We start from the raw sequence: 21,879 nt of genomic DNA on the forward strand, positions 1-21,879 counted from the left end.
GTTTGTTACATATGTATACATGTGCCATGTTGGTGTGCTGCACCCATTAACTCGTCATTTACATTAGGTATATCTCCTGATGCTATCCCTCCCTGCTCCCCCCCACTCAACAATAGGCCCCGGTGTGTGATGTTCCCCTTCCTGTGTCCATGTGTTCTCATTGTTCAATTCCCACCTATGAGTGAGAACATGCAGTGTTTGGTTTTTTGGCCTTGCGATAGTGTGCTGAGAATAATGGTTTCCAGCTTCATCCATGTCCCTACAAAGGACATGAACTCATCCTTTTTTATGGCTGCATAGTATTCCATGGTGTGTATGTGCCACATTTTCTTAATCCAGTCTATCATTTATGGGCATTTGGGTTGGTTCCAAGTCTTTGCTATTGTGAATAGTGCCACAATAAACATACGTGTGCATGTGTCTTTATAGCAGCATGATTTATAATCTTTTGGGTATATACCCAGTAATGGGATGGCTGGGTCAAATGGTATTTCTAGTTCTAGATCCTTGAGGAATTGCCACACTGTCTTCCACAATGGTTGAACTAGTTTACAGTCCCACCAACAGTATAAAAGTGTTCCTATTTCTCCACATCCTCTCCAGCACCTGTTGTTCCTGACTTTTTAGTGATTGCCATTCTAACTGGTGTGAGATGGTATCTCATTGTGGTTTTGATTTGCATTTCTCTGATGGCCAGCAATGATGAACATTTTTTCATGTGCCTTTTGGCTGTATAAATGTCTTCTTTTGAGAAGTAAGTGTCCATTCATATCCTTCACGCTACCTAACTTCAAACTATACTATAAGGCTACAGTAACCAAAACAACATGGTACTGGTACCAAAACAGAGATATAGACCAATGAAACAGAACAGAGCCCTCAGAAATAATACCACACATTTACAACTATCTGATCTTTGACAAACCTGACAAAAACAAGAAATGGGGAAAGGATTCCCTATTTAATAAATGGTGCTGGGAAAACTGGCTAGCCATATGTAGAAAGCTGAAACTGGACCCCTTCCTTACACCTTATACAAAAATTAATTAAAGATGGATTAAAGACTTAAAAGTTAGACCAAAAACCATAAAAAATCCTAGAAAAGAACCTAGGCAATACCATTCAGGACATAGGCATGGACAGTGACTTCATGTCTAAAACACCAAAAGCAGTGGCAACAAAAGCCAAAATTGACAAATGGGATCTAATTAAACTAGAAAGCTTCTGCACAGCAAAAGAAACTACCATCAGAGTGAACAGGCAATCTTCAGAATGGGAAAAAATTTTTGCAATCTACTCATCTGAGAAAGGGCTAATATCCAGAATCTACAAAGAATTCAAACAAATTTACATGAAAAAAAAACAAACAACCCCAGCACCAGGTAGATTTCTAAGGTTTCTGACTTCAGGCCTGTTTCAATGACAGCATTTCTGGACCTGCCTGGAGGCTAGGGGAAGTCATTGCCCTTAAGGCAAAGACACAAGCCTATCCGGTTTTACCACCTGCTGACTGCAGAGCCCTACTGCTTTGACCAGGCAGAGGTGGTATCCAGGTAGTGGTTACAACAGACTTTGGGCAAGACTTAGTGCTATGCTTGCTTCAAGTCTGACTGAGTACAGTCCCAGCGGTGGCGGCCACAAGGGTGATTATGTCACCCCTCCCACAGTTCCAGGCGGCTCAGCACAGAAAGACTCTGTTTGAGAGAATGTAAGAGAAGAGAACAAAAGCCTATGCCTGGCAATCCAGATAATTCTTCTGGATCTTATCCAAGACTACTAAGGCAGTACCTCGACGAGTCTGCAAAAACCATAGTGTTACTTAGCTTGGGGTACCACACAATGCAGATATGGCTGCAGTGACCAAAAATTTAGATCACAAAACTCAAGTCCCTTTGAATAACTGAAAAATTTTCCCAAAAAGGACGAGTACACACAAGCCCAGATTGTAAAGACTGCCATAAATACCTAACTCTTCAATACCTAGACACCAAGGAACACGCGCAAGCATCAAGACCACAAAGGAAAATATTACCTTACCAAAAGAAATAAATAAGTTACCAGAGAACAATCATGGAGAGACAGAGATACGTTATCTATTAGACAGAGAATTCAAAATAGCTGTTTTGAGGAAACTCAAAGAAATTCAAGGTAACACAGAGAAGGAATTCAGAATCCTATTATACAAATTTAACAGGTTGAACTAATTAAAAATAAATAAAGAATCAAACATACATTCTGGAGTTGAAAAATGCAATTCACATTCTGAAGAGCATCAGAGTATTTTAACAGCAGAACTGATCAAGCAGAAGAAGATATTGGTGAGATTTGAGACATGTTATTGGAAAATAGAAAATCAGAAGAGTCAAAAGAAAAAAGAAGAAAAAGCAATGATTCATGCCTACAAAATCTAGAAAATTGCCTGAAAATGGCAAATCTAAGAATTATTGGCCTTAAAGTGGAGATAAGAATGAAAAATTTATTCAAAGATGTCAGTATTCGAGTACAAACACCAAGAAGATTTATCCCAAAGAAGACTACCTCAAGGCATTTATAATCATCAAACTGTGAAATGTCAATGATAAAGATAGAATCCTAAACGCAGCAAGAGAAAAGCCACAAATAACATACAATGGAGATTCAATATGTCTGGTAGCAGACTTTTCAGTGGAAACTTTACAGGCCAGGAGAGAGTGGCATGACATATTTAAAATTCTGAGGGAAAAATCTACTAACCTATAATAGTATATTGAGTAAAAATGTTCTTAAAGCATGAATAAGAAATAAAGATTTTTCTCAAAAAAAATGGAGGGATTTTATCAACATGAGACTTGTCAAAAAAATTCTAAAGGGAGTTTTTCCATCTAAAAGTAAAGGAAGTTAATGGGCAATAAGAAATCATTTGGAAGGTACAAAACTTACTGGTAATATTTAGTACACAGGAAAACACAGAATAACACTGTAATTGTGAAGTGTAAACTAGTCTTATCTTAAGTAGAAAGTTGAAAAGATAAACCCATACAAATTATAACTACAACAACTTTTCAGTACATAGATAGTACAATAAGATGTAAATATAAACAACAAAAAGTTAAAAAGCAGGGGACAATGTTAAAGTGTAGAATTTTTATTACTTTTCCTTTTGCTTCTAAGTTAGTTTTTGCAGTCAGCATAAAGTTGTCATTAGTTTAAAATAATGGGTTACAATATACTATTTGCAAGCCTCATGGTAACCTCAAATCTAAAACCACACAACAAACACACAAAAAATAAAAAGTAAGAACATAAGACACACCACCAGAGAAAATCACCTTCGCTAAAAGGAAGACAGGAAGGAAGGAAAGAAGGAATAGAGAACCACAAAACAACAAGAGAACAAATAACAAAATGCCTGGAGTAAGTCCTTACCTATCAATAATAACATTAAATGTAAATGGACTAAATGTTTCAATTAAAAGATATAGGGTGGCTGAATGCATAAAATAAAATACCCAATAATCCGTTGCTTACAAAAAAACACACTTCACCTATAAAGGCATATGTAGACTGAAAATAAAGGGATAGAAAAGATACTGCATGCTAATGAAAACCAAAAAAGATACAGGAGTAGCTGTACTTACACAAAATAGACTTCAATACAAAAACTATAAGAAGAGACAAAGAAGGTCAGTATATAATGATAAAGGCATCAATTTAGAAAGAGGATATAACAATTGTAAATATATATATGTACTAAACACTGGAACACAGAGATATATAAAGCAAATATTATTAGAGCTAAAGAGAATGTGACGGTTAATGTTGAATGTCAACTTGATTGGATTGAAAGATGAAAAGTATTGTTCCTGGGTGTGTCCCTGTGAGGGTGTTGCCAAAGGAAATTAACATTTGAGTCAGTGGGCTGGGAGAGGCAGACCCACCCTCAATCTGGGTGGGCACCATCTAATCAGCTGCCAGCATAAAAGCAGGCATGGAAAGTACAGACTTACTGAGTCTTCTGGACTCCATCTTTCTCCCATGCTGGATGCTTCCTGCCCTCAAACATCAGACTCCAAGTTCTTCAGCTTTTGGACTCTTGGACTTACACCAGTGATTTGCCAGGAGCTCTTGAGCCTTTGGCCACAGACTGAGGGCTGCACTATCAGCTTCCCTACTTTTGAGGTTTTGGGACTCGGATTATCTTCCAGGCTCCTCAGCCTGCAGACAGCCTATTATGGGACTTTACCTTGTGATCGTGTGAGTCAATTATCCCAATAAACTCCCCTTCATATATTCATCTATCGTATTAGTTTTGTCCGTTTAGAGAACCCTGGTAAATACAGAGAGAGGTAGACCTGAATACAGTAACAGCTGGAGACATCAACATCCTATTTTCAGCATTGGACAGATCATCCAAACAGAAAATAAATGAAGAAACATGAACTTAATTTGCACCATACAAAATAGACCTATTAGCTATTTTCAGAATATTTCATCTAATGGTGGCAGAATATACATTCTTCTCCTCAGTACGTGGATCTTTCTCAAACACAGACCATATGATAGGTCACAAAACAAGTCTTAAAACATTCAAAACCTTTAAATGGTATCAAGCACCTTATCTTACTGTAATGGAATAAAACTAGACATTAATAATAAGAGGAATTTTGGAACCTATACAAATACATAGAAATTAAACAATATGCTCCTGAATGGCCAGTGGGTCAATGAATAAATTAATAAAGATATTAATAAATCTCTTGAAACAAATAATAATGAAAACACAACATACTAAAACCTATGGGGTACAGAAAAGCAATACTAAGATGGGAGTTTGTATCTATAAGTTCTTACATCAAAAAAGAAGAAAAACATAAAATAAACAGCCTAATGATGCATCTCAAAGAACTAGAAAAGCAAGAGCAAACCAAACCCAAAGTTAGTAGAAGAAATAATAAAAATCAGAGCAGAAAGAAAAGAAATGGAAATTAATAAAATAACACAAAAAATCAACGACACAAAATGCTGATTTTTTGAAAAGACAAACAAATTTGATGAAACTTTACTCAGACTAAGAAAAAAAGAGAGAAGATCCAAAGAAATAAAATCAGAGGTAAAAAAAATATATATTGCAACTGACACCACAGAAATTGAAAGGAGTGGCTATTATGCTCCACTATATAGCAATAAATTAGAAAACCTAGAGATAGATATATTCCTAGACACATACAACCTACCAAGATTAAACCATAAAGAAATCTAAAACATAAACAGACCAATAATAAATGACAAGATCAAATTTGTAATAAAAATTCTCCCAGCCAAAAAAAAAAAAAGCCTGGAATTCTATGGCTTCATTGCTGAATTAAACAAAAAATTTAAAAAAACCGATACCAGTCATAGTAAAACTGTTCCAAAAAATAGAAGAGGAGGGTGTACATCCAAACTTTTTCTATGAGCCCACTATTACCCTGATACCCAAATCAGACAAAGACACATCAAACAAAGAAAACTGCAGGTCAGTATCCCTGATGAACATTGATACAAAAATCCTGAAGAAAATAGTAGCAAACCAATTTAACAAAACATGAAACTGGAAACCCTCATTCTCGGCAAAGTAACACAAAAGAGAAAACCAAACACCACATGTTCTCACTCATAAGTGGGAGTTGAACAATGAGAACACATGGACACAGGGAGGGGAACATCACACACCAGGGCCTGTTGCGGGGTGGAGGCCTGGGGGAGGGATAGTATTAGGAGAAATACCTAATGTAAATGATGAGTTGATGGGTGCAGCAAACCAACATGGCACATGTATACCTATGTAACAAACATGCACATTGTGCACATGTACCCCAGAACTTAAAGTATAATAATATAAAATAAAATAAAATAAAAAGATTATCTATCATGGCCAAGTGGGATTTTTCCCAAGGATGCAAGTATAGTTCAACATATGCAAATCAATGAATATGATACAACATGCCAACAGAATGAAGGACAAAAACCATATGATCATTTTAGTTGACACTAGAAACACATTTGATAGAATTCAATATCTCTTCATTATAAGAACCTTCAAAAAACTAGGAAGAGAAGGAACTTACCTAAACATAATAAAAGCCATATATGACACACCCACAGCTAGTATCATACTGAATGGAAAAAAAAACCGCAAGTTTTTCCTATAAGATCTGAAACATGACAAGAATACACATTTTCAACACTGTTATTCAGCATAGTTCTGAAAGTCCTAGATAGAGAAATTTCACAAGAGAAAAAATACAGGGCATCCAAATTGGAAAGAGAGACATTCTTATTTGTCAGTGATATGACCTTATATTTGGAAAAATCTAATTACCATGAAAAATCTTTTACCCTGATACCCCACTCAGACAAAGACACATCAAAGAAAGAAAACTACAGGCCAATATCCCTAATGAACATTGATGCAAAAATCTTCAAGGAAATACTAGCAAAACGAATTCAACAACACATTGAAAAGATCATCTATCATGACCAAGTGGCATTTTGACTTCATCAAAGACTATTATTAATAGTACATTTGCAGGATATAAAATCAACATACAAAAATCAGTAGCATTTCTACATGCCAACAATGAACAATCTGAAAAATAAATCAAGAAAGTAATCCCTTATACAATAGCTACAAATTAAATAAAATGCATAGGGCTTACCATAATGAAAGTGAAAGATATCTACCATGAAAACTGATCAAAATTAATCAAGGCAGTGAAAGACCTCTACAAGGAGAACTGCAAAACACTGCTGAAAGAAATCATAGATGACACAAACAAATGAAAAAACGTGATCCATAATCATGGATTGGAAGAGTCAGTATCATTAAAATGGCTATGCTTTGATTCAACACTATTCTTATCAAGATACCAACATCATTTTTTTACAGAACTAGAAAAAGACTATTCTAAAATTTATATGAAACCAAAAAATAGTCCAAATTGCCAAAACACTTCTAAGCAAAAAGAACGAAGCCGGAAGGATCACATTATTTGACTTCAAACTATACTACAAGGCTACAGTAACCAAAGCAGCATAGTAGTGGTACAAAAACAGACACATAGACCAATGGAACAGAAGAGAGAATGCAGAAACTAAGACATGCCATCTACAGCCATCTGATCTTCAACAAAGTTAATGAAAATCTGCAATGAGGAAAGGACGTCCTATTCAAAACATGGTGCTGGAATAGCTGGCTAGCCATATGCAGAAACGTAATTTCTTCATGTACAAAAATTAACTCATTTCTTCATGTACAAAATTTCTTCATGTACAAAAATTAACTGAAGATAAACACTTAAATGTAAGAGCTCAAGCTATAAGAATCCTAGAAGAAAATCTAGAAAACACCATTCTGAATATTGGCCTTGGGAAATAATTTATGACTAAATCCTCAAAAGCAATTGCAACAAAAATATTGACAAGTGTGACCTAATTAAACTAATAAGATTGTGCACAAGCAAAGACATTATCAATAGAGTAAATTGACAACATACAGAATGGGAGAAAATATTCACAAACTATGCATCTGACAAAGGTCTGATATCCAGAATGTATCAGGAATGTAAGCAATTGAACAAGCAAAAAGAAATCCCATTAAAAATGGGCAAATTCCACGAACAAACACTTCTCAAAAGGCATAAAACTAGCCAAAAAATATAAAAAATGCTCATCACTACTCATCAGAGAAAGGCAGACCAAAACCAAAATGAGATATTATTCCACACCTGTTACAATGGCTATTTTTCTTTTCTTTTTTTTTTTTTTTTTTGAGACGGAGTCTCCCTCTGTCACCCAGGCTGGAGTGCAGGAGTGCATCTCTGCTCACTGCAAGCTCTGCCTCCCAGGTTCACGCCGTTCTCCTGCCTCAGGCTCCTGTGTAGCTGGGACTACAGGTGCCCGCCACTACGCCCGGCTAGTTTTTTGTATTTTTTTAGTAGAGACAGGGTTTCACCGTGTTAGCCAGGATGGTCTCAATCTCCTGACCTCGTGATCCACCCGCCTCGGCCTCCCAAAGTGCTGGGATTACAGGCATGAGCCTCCGAGCCCGGCCCACAAGGGCTATTATTAAAAAGTCAAAAAACAACAAATGTTGGTGAGGCTGCAGAGAAAAGTGAATGCTTCTACATTGTTGGTGGGAATGTAAAGTAGTTCAGTCACTGTGAAAAAACCGTTTTGTGATTTCTCAAAGAACTTAATACAGAACTGCCATTTGACCCAGGAATCCCTTACTGGGTATATATCCAAAAGAAAATAAATCATTCTATCAAAAAGACACATGTATTTGTGTATTTATCACAGCACTGTTCACTGTACCAAAGACATGGAATCAACCTAGAGGTCCATCAATGATGGATTGTATAAATAAAATGGGGTACACAGACACCATGAGATACTATGCAACTATAAAAAAGAATGAATTCATGTATTTCGTAGCAACATCAGTGCAGCTGGAGGCCATTATTCTAAGCTAATTGATGTAGGACCAAGAAATCAAATACCACATGTTCTGATTTATAAGCGGGAGGTAAACACTGGGTACTCATGGACATAAAGATAGCAATATTAGAGAGGGGAGAGACGGAGGGGTCAGGGCTTGAAAAATGAACTACTGGGTACTATGCTCACTACCTGGGTGATGGGATTAATTGTACTTCAAACATCATCATTATGCAATATACATGCAACAAACCTGCACATGTACCCCCTTGAATCTGAAATAAAATTTGAAAATATATATTAAAAAAAGAAATGCTAAGGGGAGTTTTTCAAGTTGAAATAAGAGGATGCAAACTAATACCATAAATATTTATAAAATTATAAAGCTCACTATAAAAGTAAGAATATAGTTAAATTCAGAGCACATTAATACTGTAACGGTGTATATTATAACTTTAATTGTCATATAAAAGTATACATCATTTTTAATTGTCACAAAAATTAGAAGAAAGTATTAAAATAATGATAGGTACAATAATATGTTAATGAATACATTATATATAAAAGATGTGAATTGCAGCATTAACAATGCAAAAGGTAGAGGAAGGAAAAGTTAAAATGTAGAGTTTTTTGTATGCAGTCTAAAGGAAGTTGTTATCAGCTTAATATAGGCTGATTTAACCATAAATTTTTTGTAAGCCTTATGGTAACCACAAAGAGAAAACCTGTAGTAGACGCACCAAAAATAGAGAACAGAATCAAATCATAGCATACCACTGCAGAAAAATCATCAATCACAAACGAAGAGCACATGTGAAGAAGAATGAAACAAAGGAACAACAAAAACATTGAGAAAACTATTAAGAAAATGACAATAGTTAAGTTCTTACCTATAAATAATTACTTTAAATGTAAATGTATTAAAGTCTCCAATAAAATGTCATGGAGGGATTGAATCCATCAAAAAAAAAAAAAAGATCCAATTATATTCTGCCTACGGGATAAAGAAAACATGGTATATATACACAAGATAATATTATTGAGCCTTAAAAAAAAGGGACTAGTGAATGACATTTGTTAAATCATGGGATAAATTTGTAGGATGTTAAGTAAACCAGTCACAGAATAACAAATACTGCATAATTTCACTTATATGTTAATTCTTAAAACGTCAAACTCATAACAGCAGAGAGTGCAATAGTGGTGACTCAAAGTCCTCTTTGGCGATGGGATGGGAGAATGGGTAGATGTTTGTCAAAGGGTAAAAGATTTCTGTTAGAATGAATAAGTTTCAGAGGCCTATTGTGGAGCATGTTGACTATTTGATAATAATGTATAGGGATACAATTTAAATGGTGTCACTGCTCAAATGTCATGTCAAATTGTAATCCCCAGTGTTGGTCATAGTGTCTTGTGGCAGGTGATTGCATCATGGTGGTGGATCTTTCATGAATAGTTTAGCACCATCCTATAGGTGCTGTTCTCATGACATGAGACCCTGTTATTTAAAAGTGTTTAACACCTCCTCCCCAGCTTGGTCCTGCTCCTGCCATGTAAAATGCCTGTTCCCTCTTTGCCTTCCACCATGAATAAAGTTCCCTGAGGCCTCCCCAGATGCTGGCCATGCTTCCTGTATAGCCCGCAGAACTGTGAGCCAATTAAATGGCTCACAGAGCCATTTAAAATTCTTAACATTTAAAAGAGCCAATTAAAACTCTTTTCTTTATAAATTACTCAGTCTCAGTTATTTCTTTGCAGCAATGTGAGAATGGCCTAATACATATACCATACTAGCAAGTTGCTAGGAGAGTAGATCTTCAATATTCTCATCACAAAATAAATAAGTATGTGACGTGATGGATATGTTAGTTGATTTAATCATTTCATAATGTGTATATATATATATCAAAATGTAATATTGTACTCTGTAAACATATAAAATTTCTATTGGTCAAAAATACCTTAACACAGCTGTAAAAAATATATAAATCCACTGAAACAAATAAAAAATAAGCAAAGCAATAATTAATTCCAGGCAAAATAAAATAAAGTCCACAAAAGAAAAAGTATCCAGACTATGTTATAAGTTGCCAGTAATATTCATAAAGTAAGGAGGCAAAATCTTGATGATCTAAATAAAACCATAATAAAATTATATTCATAGGTGACTGTGAAATGTGCACATGTATATTGCAAAATGGGGATGAAAAATACAGCTAAATATTTATATTCCACAGTGACAATTCAATGGCTAATGTCCAAAATTATAAAATCAATAAATATCAATTGATATAGTTTGAATATTTGTCCCTACCCAAATCTCATGTTGAAATGTAATCCCCTGTCTTAGAGGTGGGGTCTGGTTGGCGATATTTGGATCGTGGGGTGGATCCATCATGAATGGCTTGGGCCATTTCCATGGTAATATGTGAGCTCTCACTCTGCATGCTAATGAGATCAGGTTGTTGAAAAGTATGTTACACCCTCACCTCAGAATCTCTCACTCTCTTGCTCTTGTCCTGGTCACCTGATATGCCTGCTCTGTCTTTGCCTTCCACCATGATTAGAAGCTTTCTGAGGCCTCGCCAGAAGCAGATATTGCTATGCGTCCTATACAGCCTGCAGAACCATAAGCCTGTTAAATCTCTTTTTATAGATTAGTCAGTCTTAGGTATTTCTTCATACCATTGCAGGAATAGTTTAATATAGCAATATTCAATCTTATTTAAAGAAATGGAGGTTAACATTTAAAATATTTTCTAAAATAGTTGAAAATGTCTCTGGGAAGGTATAAGTGGGGAATGAGGGGGTGAGCTATTTTTTTTCTCACCAAATATTATAAAGCTATTTGATTTATTAAGCTATGTGCATATTTAATTTCTATAAGCTTAAAAAAGTAAAAGTAATAACACTGTAGCTGAAGAATATTTCTTACTCTAAAGTACTCTGTTGTCAGAAAATTTGTCCCTATGTTTAAGGGTAGCAGCACAATCTTCTCTTGGTTCTGCTATGCTTCTTACAGTGTCTTTAGTAATTAGGATTCATTGTTAGCAAGCTTATATTTCACATTTTAATGTTAACTCTTGCAACGCCAACAAAGCAGTGAGGTTTAGTGGAAAACAGTCAGAACTGGGAGAATGTGCTATAGTCCCTGCTGTGCTGACAAAGTCATAGTTGTGACTCACTTAAATTTCTGGGATTGAAATTCTTCATTTGCAATTCTTTTTTAGTTTTAAAATTGAGGCAGTAAGTAAGTTAGGTAAATTTGAAGTCCACTCTATTTGTATGATTTTCTGGTATTATCATTAATAAGAGAATCAAATGTCACTTGGGTTTCGTAGGTCAATAAGCAATTACTATAAAGCAAATACAGAGTGTGGTCTTCTGGAATGAGTGTTGAATGAGACTTTCATCCTGGAAACCTACTTTTATTATAAGAAAATAACTGGTTCCGGGCAGTAAGCTGTATACCTTCACATTCACTGTTTTTTTCTCATTAATTTTTTTGCGTTTCCTTCACACAACCGTGATCCCAAGAGCATACATTCAGGATATTGAATAAACAGCTAGGCCATTCATTCTAGTCACTTTCATTCATGATTATGCCTATTGAAATTGAGTGGTATTTAGGTGATATTTAGCCAGCAAACTAGCGATACTAAATCTTAGCCTTGACATTGTTTCTTCTTGTGAGGTCTCTGAGAAAGATAAATACATAAAAACGCAAAGAATGAAAAACGAACACGATTGAATGTTAGGGTTTCGAGTCTAAAAGTAAATATTGAACTCTAGTAAGTTAGTATGAACTGCACTAGAAACTCATATTTTCTAAGTTATGTAGGTATAAATATAGATGAATTAAAGTAAAACCTAACCTTAGCTTCAGAACTCACACTTGTGATGTAATGAAATATTAAATAAGTCCTATCTTCTACTATAAGAGAGAAAGGATCAAGGGAGCTGCCATAGTTTGGATGTCTGTTTCTCCAAATCTCATGTTGAAATTTGGTCCCCAGTGTTGGAGGTAGGGTCAAATGGTAGGTGTTTGGGTCGTGGAGTGGATCCGTCATGAGTGGCTAGGTGCTGTCCTCCTGGTAATGAGTGAGTTCATGCTCTATTAGTTCCTGTGAGAGCTAGTTGTTTAAAAGAGCCTAGCACTTCCCCACTTTATCTGTCTTTTTGTCTCTCTGTCTCTCTCTCTCTGCTTCCTGTCTCACCATGAAATTTCTGCACAGCTCAGCTCCCTTTCACTTTTCATCATGAGTAGAAGTAGTCTGAGGCCTTCATCAGAAACAGATGTTGGTGTCATGGTTCTCGTACACCCTGCAGAAATGTGAGCCAAATAAACTTATTTTTTAAATAAATTACGCAGCCTCAGGTTTTCCTTTATGGCAACACAAATGGACTATGGTAAGAACCAAAGAGAAAAATAATAGTTTTCATTTCAATATTCAATGCCAAATTTTGGCAAGGAAGAATGGGTGGTGGTGTATTACTTAGACAAAAGAAAGATGTTCATGGATATTAAAGAAATGTTGTTTACCATTATTACATCTTGTAGAAGGTCTGATTTGGTCAAGCCCACACACATTAGAAACTTCAGTTCCATTGAGAACTTCACTCACTAGCCCTGTGTCTCAAGATTTCCTAGGACATGCCTTGTTGCAAGTTTCTGTAGTTTTTTTTTTTCAATTAGGTAATCATTTTTTCTACCTTGGAAATGGAATAAATGTAGTAATAAATAGATGAAGAAGTGTTCTTTTCCTATCCTTTCCAGTGGTGTCAGTTTCAACTTATGTTTATCTTTCAACTATATCCAGAAAAAGACCCAGTTATCAAAAGCCATGCATGAGCTACCTGAACATTTCCTATGATCTGGTCACTTTTTCTGTCACGAATCTTAGGTTTTCTATTTTGCTGTGATCAACCTCTTTATCCATTTTTTTTCATGTTCAGGGTCTCATATTGACAGCCAATGCTGTAACATTTTAAATTAAATCTTGCAAATGAAGGTGAAAGAAAATGATAAGATACTGACCCTACTATAGTCTTCCTCAAAAAACGAAAACAAATCTATGACACATAAAAGAGCAAAATAAAAGGTTTTTATGGAATAAATTGATATATTTATTTTAAATTTTGTCGTATTATTCTGGACTATTTGTTTTGACACTCTCAATACTAATTTCTCTCCATAGATTCATAGCACTAGAACTACAGAAATAAATAACGTTTTAATAAATGTGAATTAAAATGTTACCTCCTAATACATACAGAGTATGTGCAACTCAAATCTGTTGGGAAAATAATTAACCATATATGTCAGGAATAGAGAATAACAAAATGCCGATCTTAAAAACAGTGAAAACATACTGAGTGTTAAGCTTAAAATTAATATTCTTTTCACATTTTTCAGGCATTCCAATGAACTTCTCTAGGTGTTAGGAACCTGTCAGCTTGGGCAGAATCTCTCCCCACAAAAATTAACACTGTCAGGCAAAATTATAAATCGGTGAATCTTGAACCTAGCTGCTAATCAGAATCACCTTAAGGACATTTTAAAAACACAAATTTCTGAAGCTGCCCTAAGAACAGATAATTAGAATCTGTATTAAAAAAAAATAAGGAAACCATAAAACAAAACCAATCTGCACATTATCCTTAAAAAGTCACCTGTTAATAGAACCATGCTGGGACCCTATTAACACAGAACAATATTGATATTCTAATCTATTTCTGAAATTATTAGAAAAATTACATGTTTTAGCATAGATAAGGGATACTTTATAGCTTACATTTAAACATATGTGTTTATCTGAAGTCATCAAATATTTCTTGAGAAGCATTTATTCAAGATACAGTATTAGGCAATTTATGGAATAAAAACATGCCCTGTCTTCAAAGAGTTTATAAATACTAGAGAAAAATGTGTATTAGTGAATATTAGAAAATAGTAATGATCAATTTGACAAAATTCAGTGGGCCAAATGATTCAGAAATATTTTTACTTTTTCACATAGGTAATAATCATCTTGTCCATTTTATATCCAAGGTTCAGCTGAAGTCCTACTTTCTTGAAAAAAAATTCCTGGATTACTCTTATTCTGGAAATATTATGTAACATATTTATTTAATCTTTACATGTTAGTCAATGATGTAATCATTTTTAGTACACTTTATTCTTATATCACTTACATATTTACAGGAAACCTGAAAAGACAGTACAGAGGATTCCCATACACTCTGAACTCAATTTCACCTACTAACACCTTACATTATTATGACACATGTATTACAATTAATGAACCAATATTGATGAATTGATATTAACAAAATTCCATAATTCACTTAGATTTCCTTAGCTTTTACCTAATGTATTTTTTTTTCTCTTTAGGGATTTCATACAGAATAACACATTACATTTAGTTGTCATTTCTCTTTAGGGTCCTCTTGGCTATGGCAGTTTTTAAGACTTTACTTGTTTTTGATTAACTTAGCAGTTTTAAGGAGTTTTAGGCCTGGCGCGGTGGCTCATGCCTGTAATCCCAGCACTTTGGGACGCCAAGGCGGGCGGATCACGAGGCCAGGAGATCGAGACCATCCTGGCCAACATGGTGAAACCCCGTCTCTACTAAAAATACAAAAAAAATTAGCTGGACGTGGTGGCACATGCCTGTAATCCCAGCTACTCAGGAGGCTGAGGAAGGAAAATTGTTTGAACCAGGGAGTTGGAGGTTGCAGTGAGCCAAAATCGCGCCACTGCACTCCAGCCTAGAGACAGAGCGAAACTCCGTCTCAAAAAAAAAAAAAAAAAAAAGAAGTTTTAAGGAGTATTAGTCAAGCATTTTGTGAAATGTTTATTATTCCAATTTGTTTGATGTTTTTCTAATTTTAAATCATGGGTTATGAGTTATTGGGAGGAAGACCACAGAGGTAGAGTACCATTTTCATCAATATCAAGAATCCATATCATCAAAATGATTTATGACTGTCGATGTTGACTTTGACTGACTGCCTGAGGTAAACTTTGTTACGTTGCTCCACCACTGTAAATGTACTATTTTCCCTCCTTTCTATATTATACACTTTGGAAGGAAGTCACTATGTGCATACCACAAACAAGAGTATTTGCATCCCGTCCTTGAGGGCAGGGTGTCTACATAAATTATTAGGAATTCTCTGCATGGGAAACTCATAATTCATTTCCATTAATTAATATATTTAATCATATATTTATATCAGTATAAATTTATAGAGATTTATTGTATACTGTGGATTAAAATCTAGTGCTACTTTATTTATTTTTTGTTTAAAATTATCTACATTTTGACACTGGAGCCTATTTCAGCTGACTCCTGTGCTTCTTTGATATACCCCCATCCTGGTACGTGTGTATGTGCATGTATTTATGTACGTTTGTATATATGTTGTGAGCATTTTCTTGCTTCTCGGCACTACAAGATGCTACACACTTATCTTGTATATTTCCTATCCTAGTCCTATAACCAGCCACTTCTCCAATGAGCCCTGGTGCCTTTGTTGGAGAATGGTATTAGAAATCATTATTCAGCCACTAAGTGTGCTCATTGCTACTCATGTATCACTTCTTTTAGGCTCACTCAGCTGACAGAGAAAAAAATACTTGTGTATGATAACTTTTGTATATACACATATCTATCAATAGTTGTATATGTAACCATCTGTATCTATATTAAGCTAAACGTGAGGTCATGCTGACGTTTACAGTTCTCATCCAATACCATATGGATAGGTTTTTATTTCTTTCTTTATCTATAAACTTACTCCAACTATAAGAAGACTGATTCCTTCCATCAGTCATGTATTTAATTAAATGTTTAATTCCATTATACATGTATAGCAGAGCCATTAGCTCATACACCCATGGGAAACTATTTTATCAACTAGATTACAGTGCTCATGTGCAGTTCTCATAGTCTTATGCTTACAGATCCTACTCATTTGCAAAGTTGCTTGAGTCAGCACCTTTTCTCCCTCTCCCATTAAGTGAGTTTGCTTTATGTGTTTGTAATACATTTAGAATATCCTGTCACACTCTGCATTTTTAAGTGACCCTTTGACCACCTAAATTATGTTTTTAAATTTGCACATGGACCAGTTTTCGTGCAGTAAAGTTCTACAGGTTTTGACAAATGCATAATGGCTTGCATTCACTGCTATAGCATCACACAGAAAAACTTTACTGTAACCCAAATCCCTTGATCTTTATTTGTTTCTACCTCTTTATTACCCCTAAAGCCCTGATAACCATGGGTTACTTTGTCTTTATAATTTTACCTTTTCCAGAATGTTATACAATTGGAACCTTAGGATTCTTTATCAAGAAGCATTTAATATTTTTTGTCTTTTCATGGTTTGATAGCTCATCTGTTTGCTTCCAGCTCTTGGCAATTATAAATAAAGCTGCAATAAACATTATGCTTGGATTTTTATGTGATTATAGGTTATGAAATAAATTTGATAATAACTAGGAGCATGACTATTGGGTCATGTGGTGACTGTGATCATACAGTTTTGTAAGAGACTGCTTGTCTTCCAAAGTACCTCAACCATTTTGTATTCCATTAGCAATCAATGAGTTTAAATTGTTAAGCAACCTCTCCAGCATTTATTATCGTAAGTTTTTAGACATTTCAATAGGTACGTAGTAGTATTTCATTATTCTTTTAATTTGCAATACCTCAAAAACAAGTTTGCTAAAATAAATAATAAAATACTATTGCATTTTATATTTCTGTTCATGAACCATCTTGAGTCAAGTTTCGTGAATGTTGCAAATGCTGTGTCTAGATAGACTTTTTAAGACTTCATATTTTACAGTTCCTAGTAAAATTAAGAAAAAGGTACAGAGGTTTTCTATATATCCCCTATTTCCACACAAATCTAGCCTCTGCCATTATAAACATCTCCAACCAAAGTGGTACATTTGTTACACTCAGTGAATCTACATCGACATATCATTATCACCCAAAGTCCACAGTTTATATTAGAGCTCACTCTTGGTGTGTACATTCTGTGGGTTTGGAGAAATGTATATTGATGTATATCCACCATTATGGTATTATACATTGTATTTTCACTGCCCTAAAAATTCTCTGTGCTCCACCTATTTATTCCTCCCTCCCCCAAACCTTGGCAATGACTGAACTGTCTCTACAGATATGCCTTTTCCAGAAAGCCATATAGTTGGAATCATACAGTATCTAGCATTTTCTGACTGGCCTCTTTCATTTAGTAATATCCGTTTAAGGTCCCTCCATGTAATTTTATGGTTTGACATCTCATTTATTTTTGTGTGTGTGTGCTGAACAATAATCCCTTGTCTGAATGGTTCACAGTTTATTTATATGTTCCCACACTAAAGGACATCTTCGTTGCTTCCAAGTTTTTGGAAATTACAAATAAAGCTGTTATAAACATCCGTGTGCAGTTTTGTGTGGAAATACTTTTCAATTCCTTTGTGTAAATACCAAGAAGTGTGATTGCCGGATCCTATAGTAAGCTTTTTTAAAAAGCACCAAACTGTCTTCCAAAGTGGCTGCTCCATTTTTCATCTCTACAGCAATGAATATGATTTCCTGATGCTACACATTCTTGTCAGCATTTGGTGGTGTTAATTTTTGGTATTAGCCATCTTAATAGGTGTGTCGTATTTAGGTGTTTCAATTTGCATCTCCCTGATGACACATGATGTGGAACATGTACAAATATGCTTGATTGTCACTGGTATATTTCTTTTTTGAGGTAACTGTTAAGTTTGTGTCATGTTTTAGTTGTTTTCTTATTGTTGATTTTAAGAGTTCTTTATACATTTTGGATTACTGTCCTTTTTCATATGGGTCTTTTGCAAATATTTTCTCTCAGTATGTTGCTCATCTTCTCTTTCTATTGACATTGCCTTTAACAGAGAAGAAGTTTTTAATTTTAATGAAGCCCAGCTTACAGGTAATTTCTTTCACGGATCATGCCTTTGGTGCTGGATCTTAAAAGTCATTGCCATACCCAAATCATCTAGGTTTTCTTCAACATTATTTTCTAGGAGTTTTGTAGTTGTGTGTTTTGCATTTGAATCTATAATCCATTCTGAGTTTATTTTTGTGAAGAGTGTAATATCTGAATCTAAGTTCATTTCTTTAATGTAGAAGTCCAGTTGTTCCAGTACTATTTGTTTAAGGCTGTATTTACTCCATTGTATTATTTTGCTTCCTTTTCAAAGATAGTTGGCTAAACTCATGTGGGTCAATTTCTGGACCCTCTATTTTGTTACATTTATTTGTCTATTCTTTCACAAATACAATACTTTTTATATTACTATAGTTTTACAGTAAATTTTGAAGTCAGATAGTGTGAGTCTTTCTACTTTGTTTTTATCTTCAATATTCTGTTTGCTATTTTGGGTCTTTTTCCTCTCCATGTAAAACTTTAGAATCACTTTCTTGATACCCACAAAGTAACATGCTGCACTTTTGATAGAGATTGAATTGGATCTGTAGATACAATTTGGAAGAACTTAGTTCTTGTCTCTATTGACTCTTCCTATTCATTAATATGGACTATATTTTCATTTACTTTGTTCTTTAATTTATTTCATTAATGTTTTGTCATTGTCCTCATATAGATCTTGTATATTGATATGGTTTGGCTGCATTTCCACCCATATCTCATCTTAAATTGTAACTCCCATAGTCCCCATGTGTCAGGGAGGGACCCAGTGGGAGGCAATTGAATCATGAGGGCGGATTTTACCTGTGCTGTTCTCATAATAGTGAATAAGTCTCACATGATCTGATGGTTTCATAAAGGGCAGTTCCCCTGCACATGCTCTCTTGCCTGCCACCATGTAAGACGTGCCTTTGCTCCTCCTTCACCTTCTGCCATGATTGTGAGGCCTCCCCAGCCATGTAGAACTGTGATTCCATTGAACCTCTTTTTCTTTATAAATTACTCAGTCTCAGGTATTTCTTCATAGCAGTATGAAAATGAACTAATATCTACATGTTTTGTTAGATTTATAGCTAAGCATTTTTGGAGGCTGCTAATGTAAATGGTATTTTGGTTTCAGATTCAAATTTTACTTGTTCATTGCTGAGATAGGAAAGCAATAAATGTCCAGCAATCTTGCTATAATTGCTTATTAATTAAGCAGGCAGTCAAGGAAGTAAAAGGAGTAAATTTATTATATTTAAATGCTCAGCATATTGGATGAAGTCCATCCATATTAGGGAGGTCAATTTACTTTACTGAGTTCATAAATTTAAATGGTCCTCTCATTCTATAACATCCTCACAGACATACCCAGGAACAATATTTAATCTAAACACATCTTCACCCAATGAAGTTGACATACAAAATTAATTATTATGGCTGGGTGTGGTGGCTCATGCCTGTAATCCCAGCACTTTGAGAGGCTGAGGCAGGTGGATCACAAGGTCAGGAGTTCGAGACCAGGCTGGCCAATATGGTCAAATTCTGTCTCTACTAAAACTACAAAAATTAGCCAGGCGTCGTGGCAGGTGCCTGTAGTCCCAGCTACTCAGGAGGCTGAGGCAGGAGAATCACTTGAACTCAGGAGGCAGAGATTGCAGTGAGCCGAGATCATGCCACTGCACTCCAGCCTGGGTGACAGAGTGAGACTCTGTCTCAAAAAAAAAAAAAAATTAGCTATTACTCTGCTGATATGGTTTGGCTGTGTCCTCACCCAAATCTCAATTTGAATTGTAATTCCCATAATCTCCACATATCATGGGAGGGACCAGGTGGAGATAATTGAATCGTAAGGGCAGTTCCCCCATGCTGCTGTTCTCATGATAGTGAGTGATTTCTCATGAGATCTGGTGCTTTTATAAGGAGCTTTTCCCATTTTGCTGGGCACTTCTCCCAGCTGCCACCATATGAAGAAGGATATGTTTGCTTCCCCTTCCTCCATGATTGTAAGTTTTCTGAGGCCTCCCCAGCCATGCTGAACTGTGAGTCAATTAAACCTTTTTCCTTTATAAATTAACCAGTCTTGGGTATGTCTTTATTAGCAGTGTGAGAATGGACTAATACATCTGCCAAAATTCATACAAGAAGAAACAGACAAACTGAATGAACCTGTATTTATTTAAAAAATGGAATCAATAATAACCTCCCAAAACAAAGATCCAGTCTCAGATGAATTCACTGAAAAACCTAGCAAATATTTAAGAAAACTGGCTAGTTCTGGTGGTTCATACCTGTAGTTAATTCCAGGGCTTTAGGGTGATGAGGAGAGAGGATCATATGAAGCCAGGATTTAAGGCAAGCCTTGGCAACATAGTGAGATTCATATATCTATAAAAATATTAAAAGCAATTAGCCATGTATGGTAGCATACACTTGTAGTGCCAACTACTCAGGAGGCTGAAGTGAGAAGATCACTTGAGTGCAAAGTTCAAAGCTGCAATGACCTGTAATTATACCACTGCACTTCAGCCAGGGCAAAAGAGCAAGGCTCTGTCTCTAATTATTTCATTAATTGAAAAATAAAATAAAGAAAAAATTAGCCCAATTCTCTACAATTTCTTTCAGGAGATGAAAGCAAAGGCAGTATGTCTAACTCATTTTATGCAGCCAACATTGCCCTAATATCAAAACTAGACAAAAACATTACATGAAGAGAAAACTACAGGCCAATATCTTTTGTGAACATAGCTGCAAAAATCCTCAACAAAATATTAACAAATAAAATCCAAGAATGCATAAAAATTATACCTCATGATCAAGTAGGGTTTATACCAGGTAGGAAAAGCTGGCTCAACATTTGAAAATCAATTAATGTAATCCATCATATCAACAGGTTAAAAAAAATCACACGATTATATCTATAAATTCTGGAAAAGCATTTGATGAAATTCAAAATTCATTCATGATAAAACTCTGAGCAAACTAGGAATAAAAAAAAATTCCTTAAGTTGATTAAACACATCTAGAAAACATATAGCTAAAATCATACTTATGATCAAAAACTAGATGTTTTCTTGCTAATATCAGGAACACCAAAAGATGTCCTCCTCTACCACTGCTCTTTTTCCACCCTGTACTGAAAATACTAGCTAATGCAATAAGAAAGGGAAGTGAAAGGCAAACAGGTTGGGAAGATAGAAAGAAAAATCTTTGTTCAAAGGTGACATAATTTCCTGTGCAGAAAAAAACCACTCTTGTAACCACTCTTGTAATTCTGTAGCCTGAGAACCAGTGGGTACATACTGCCCTTGGATTGGAAGTTACACCATTGGCACTCACTGCTTCTCAGGCTACAGACTTAAGACTTGAAATTAGTCCATTTCATTTGTTATCAAATTTGTGGTAATAACATTGTTCACACTATTTATTATTGTTTTAATAGCCATATGACCGTATTGA

Source organism: Homo sapiens, chromosome Y (genome assembly GCF_000001405.40).
Source record: "Homo sapiens chromosome Y, GRCh38.p14 Primary Assembly".
In the NCBI taxonomy this organism is placed as follows: Eukaryota; Metazoa; Chordata; class Mammalia; order Primates; family Hominidae; genus Homo; species Homo sapiens.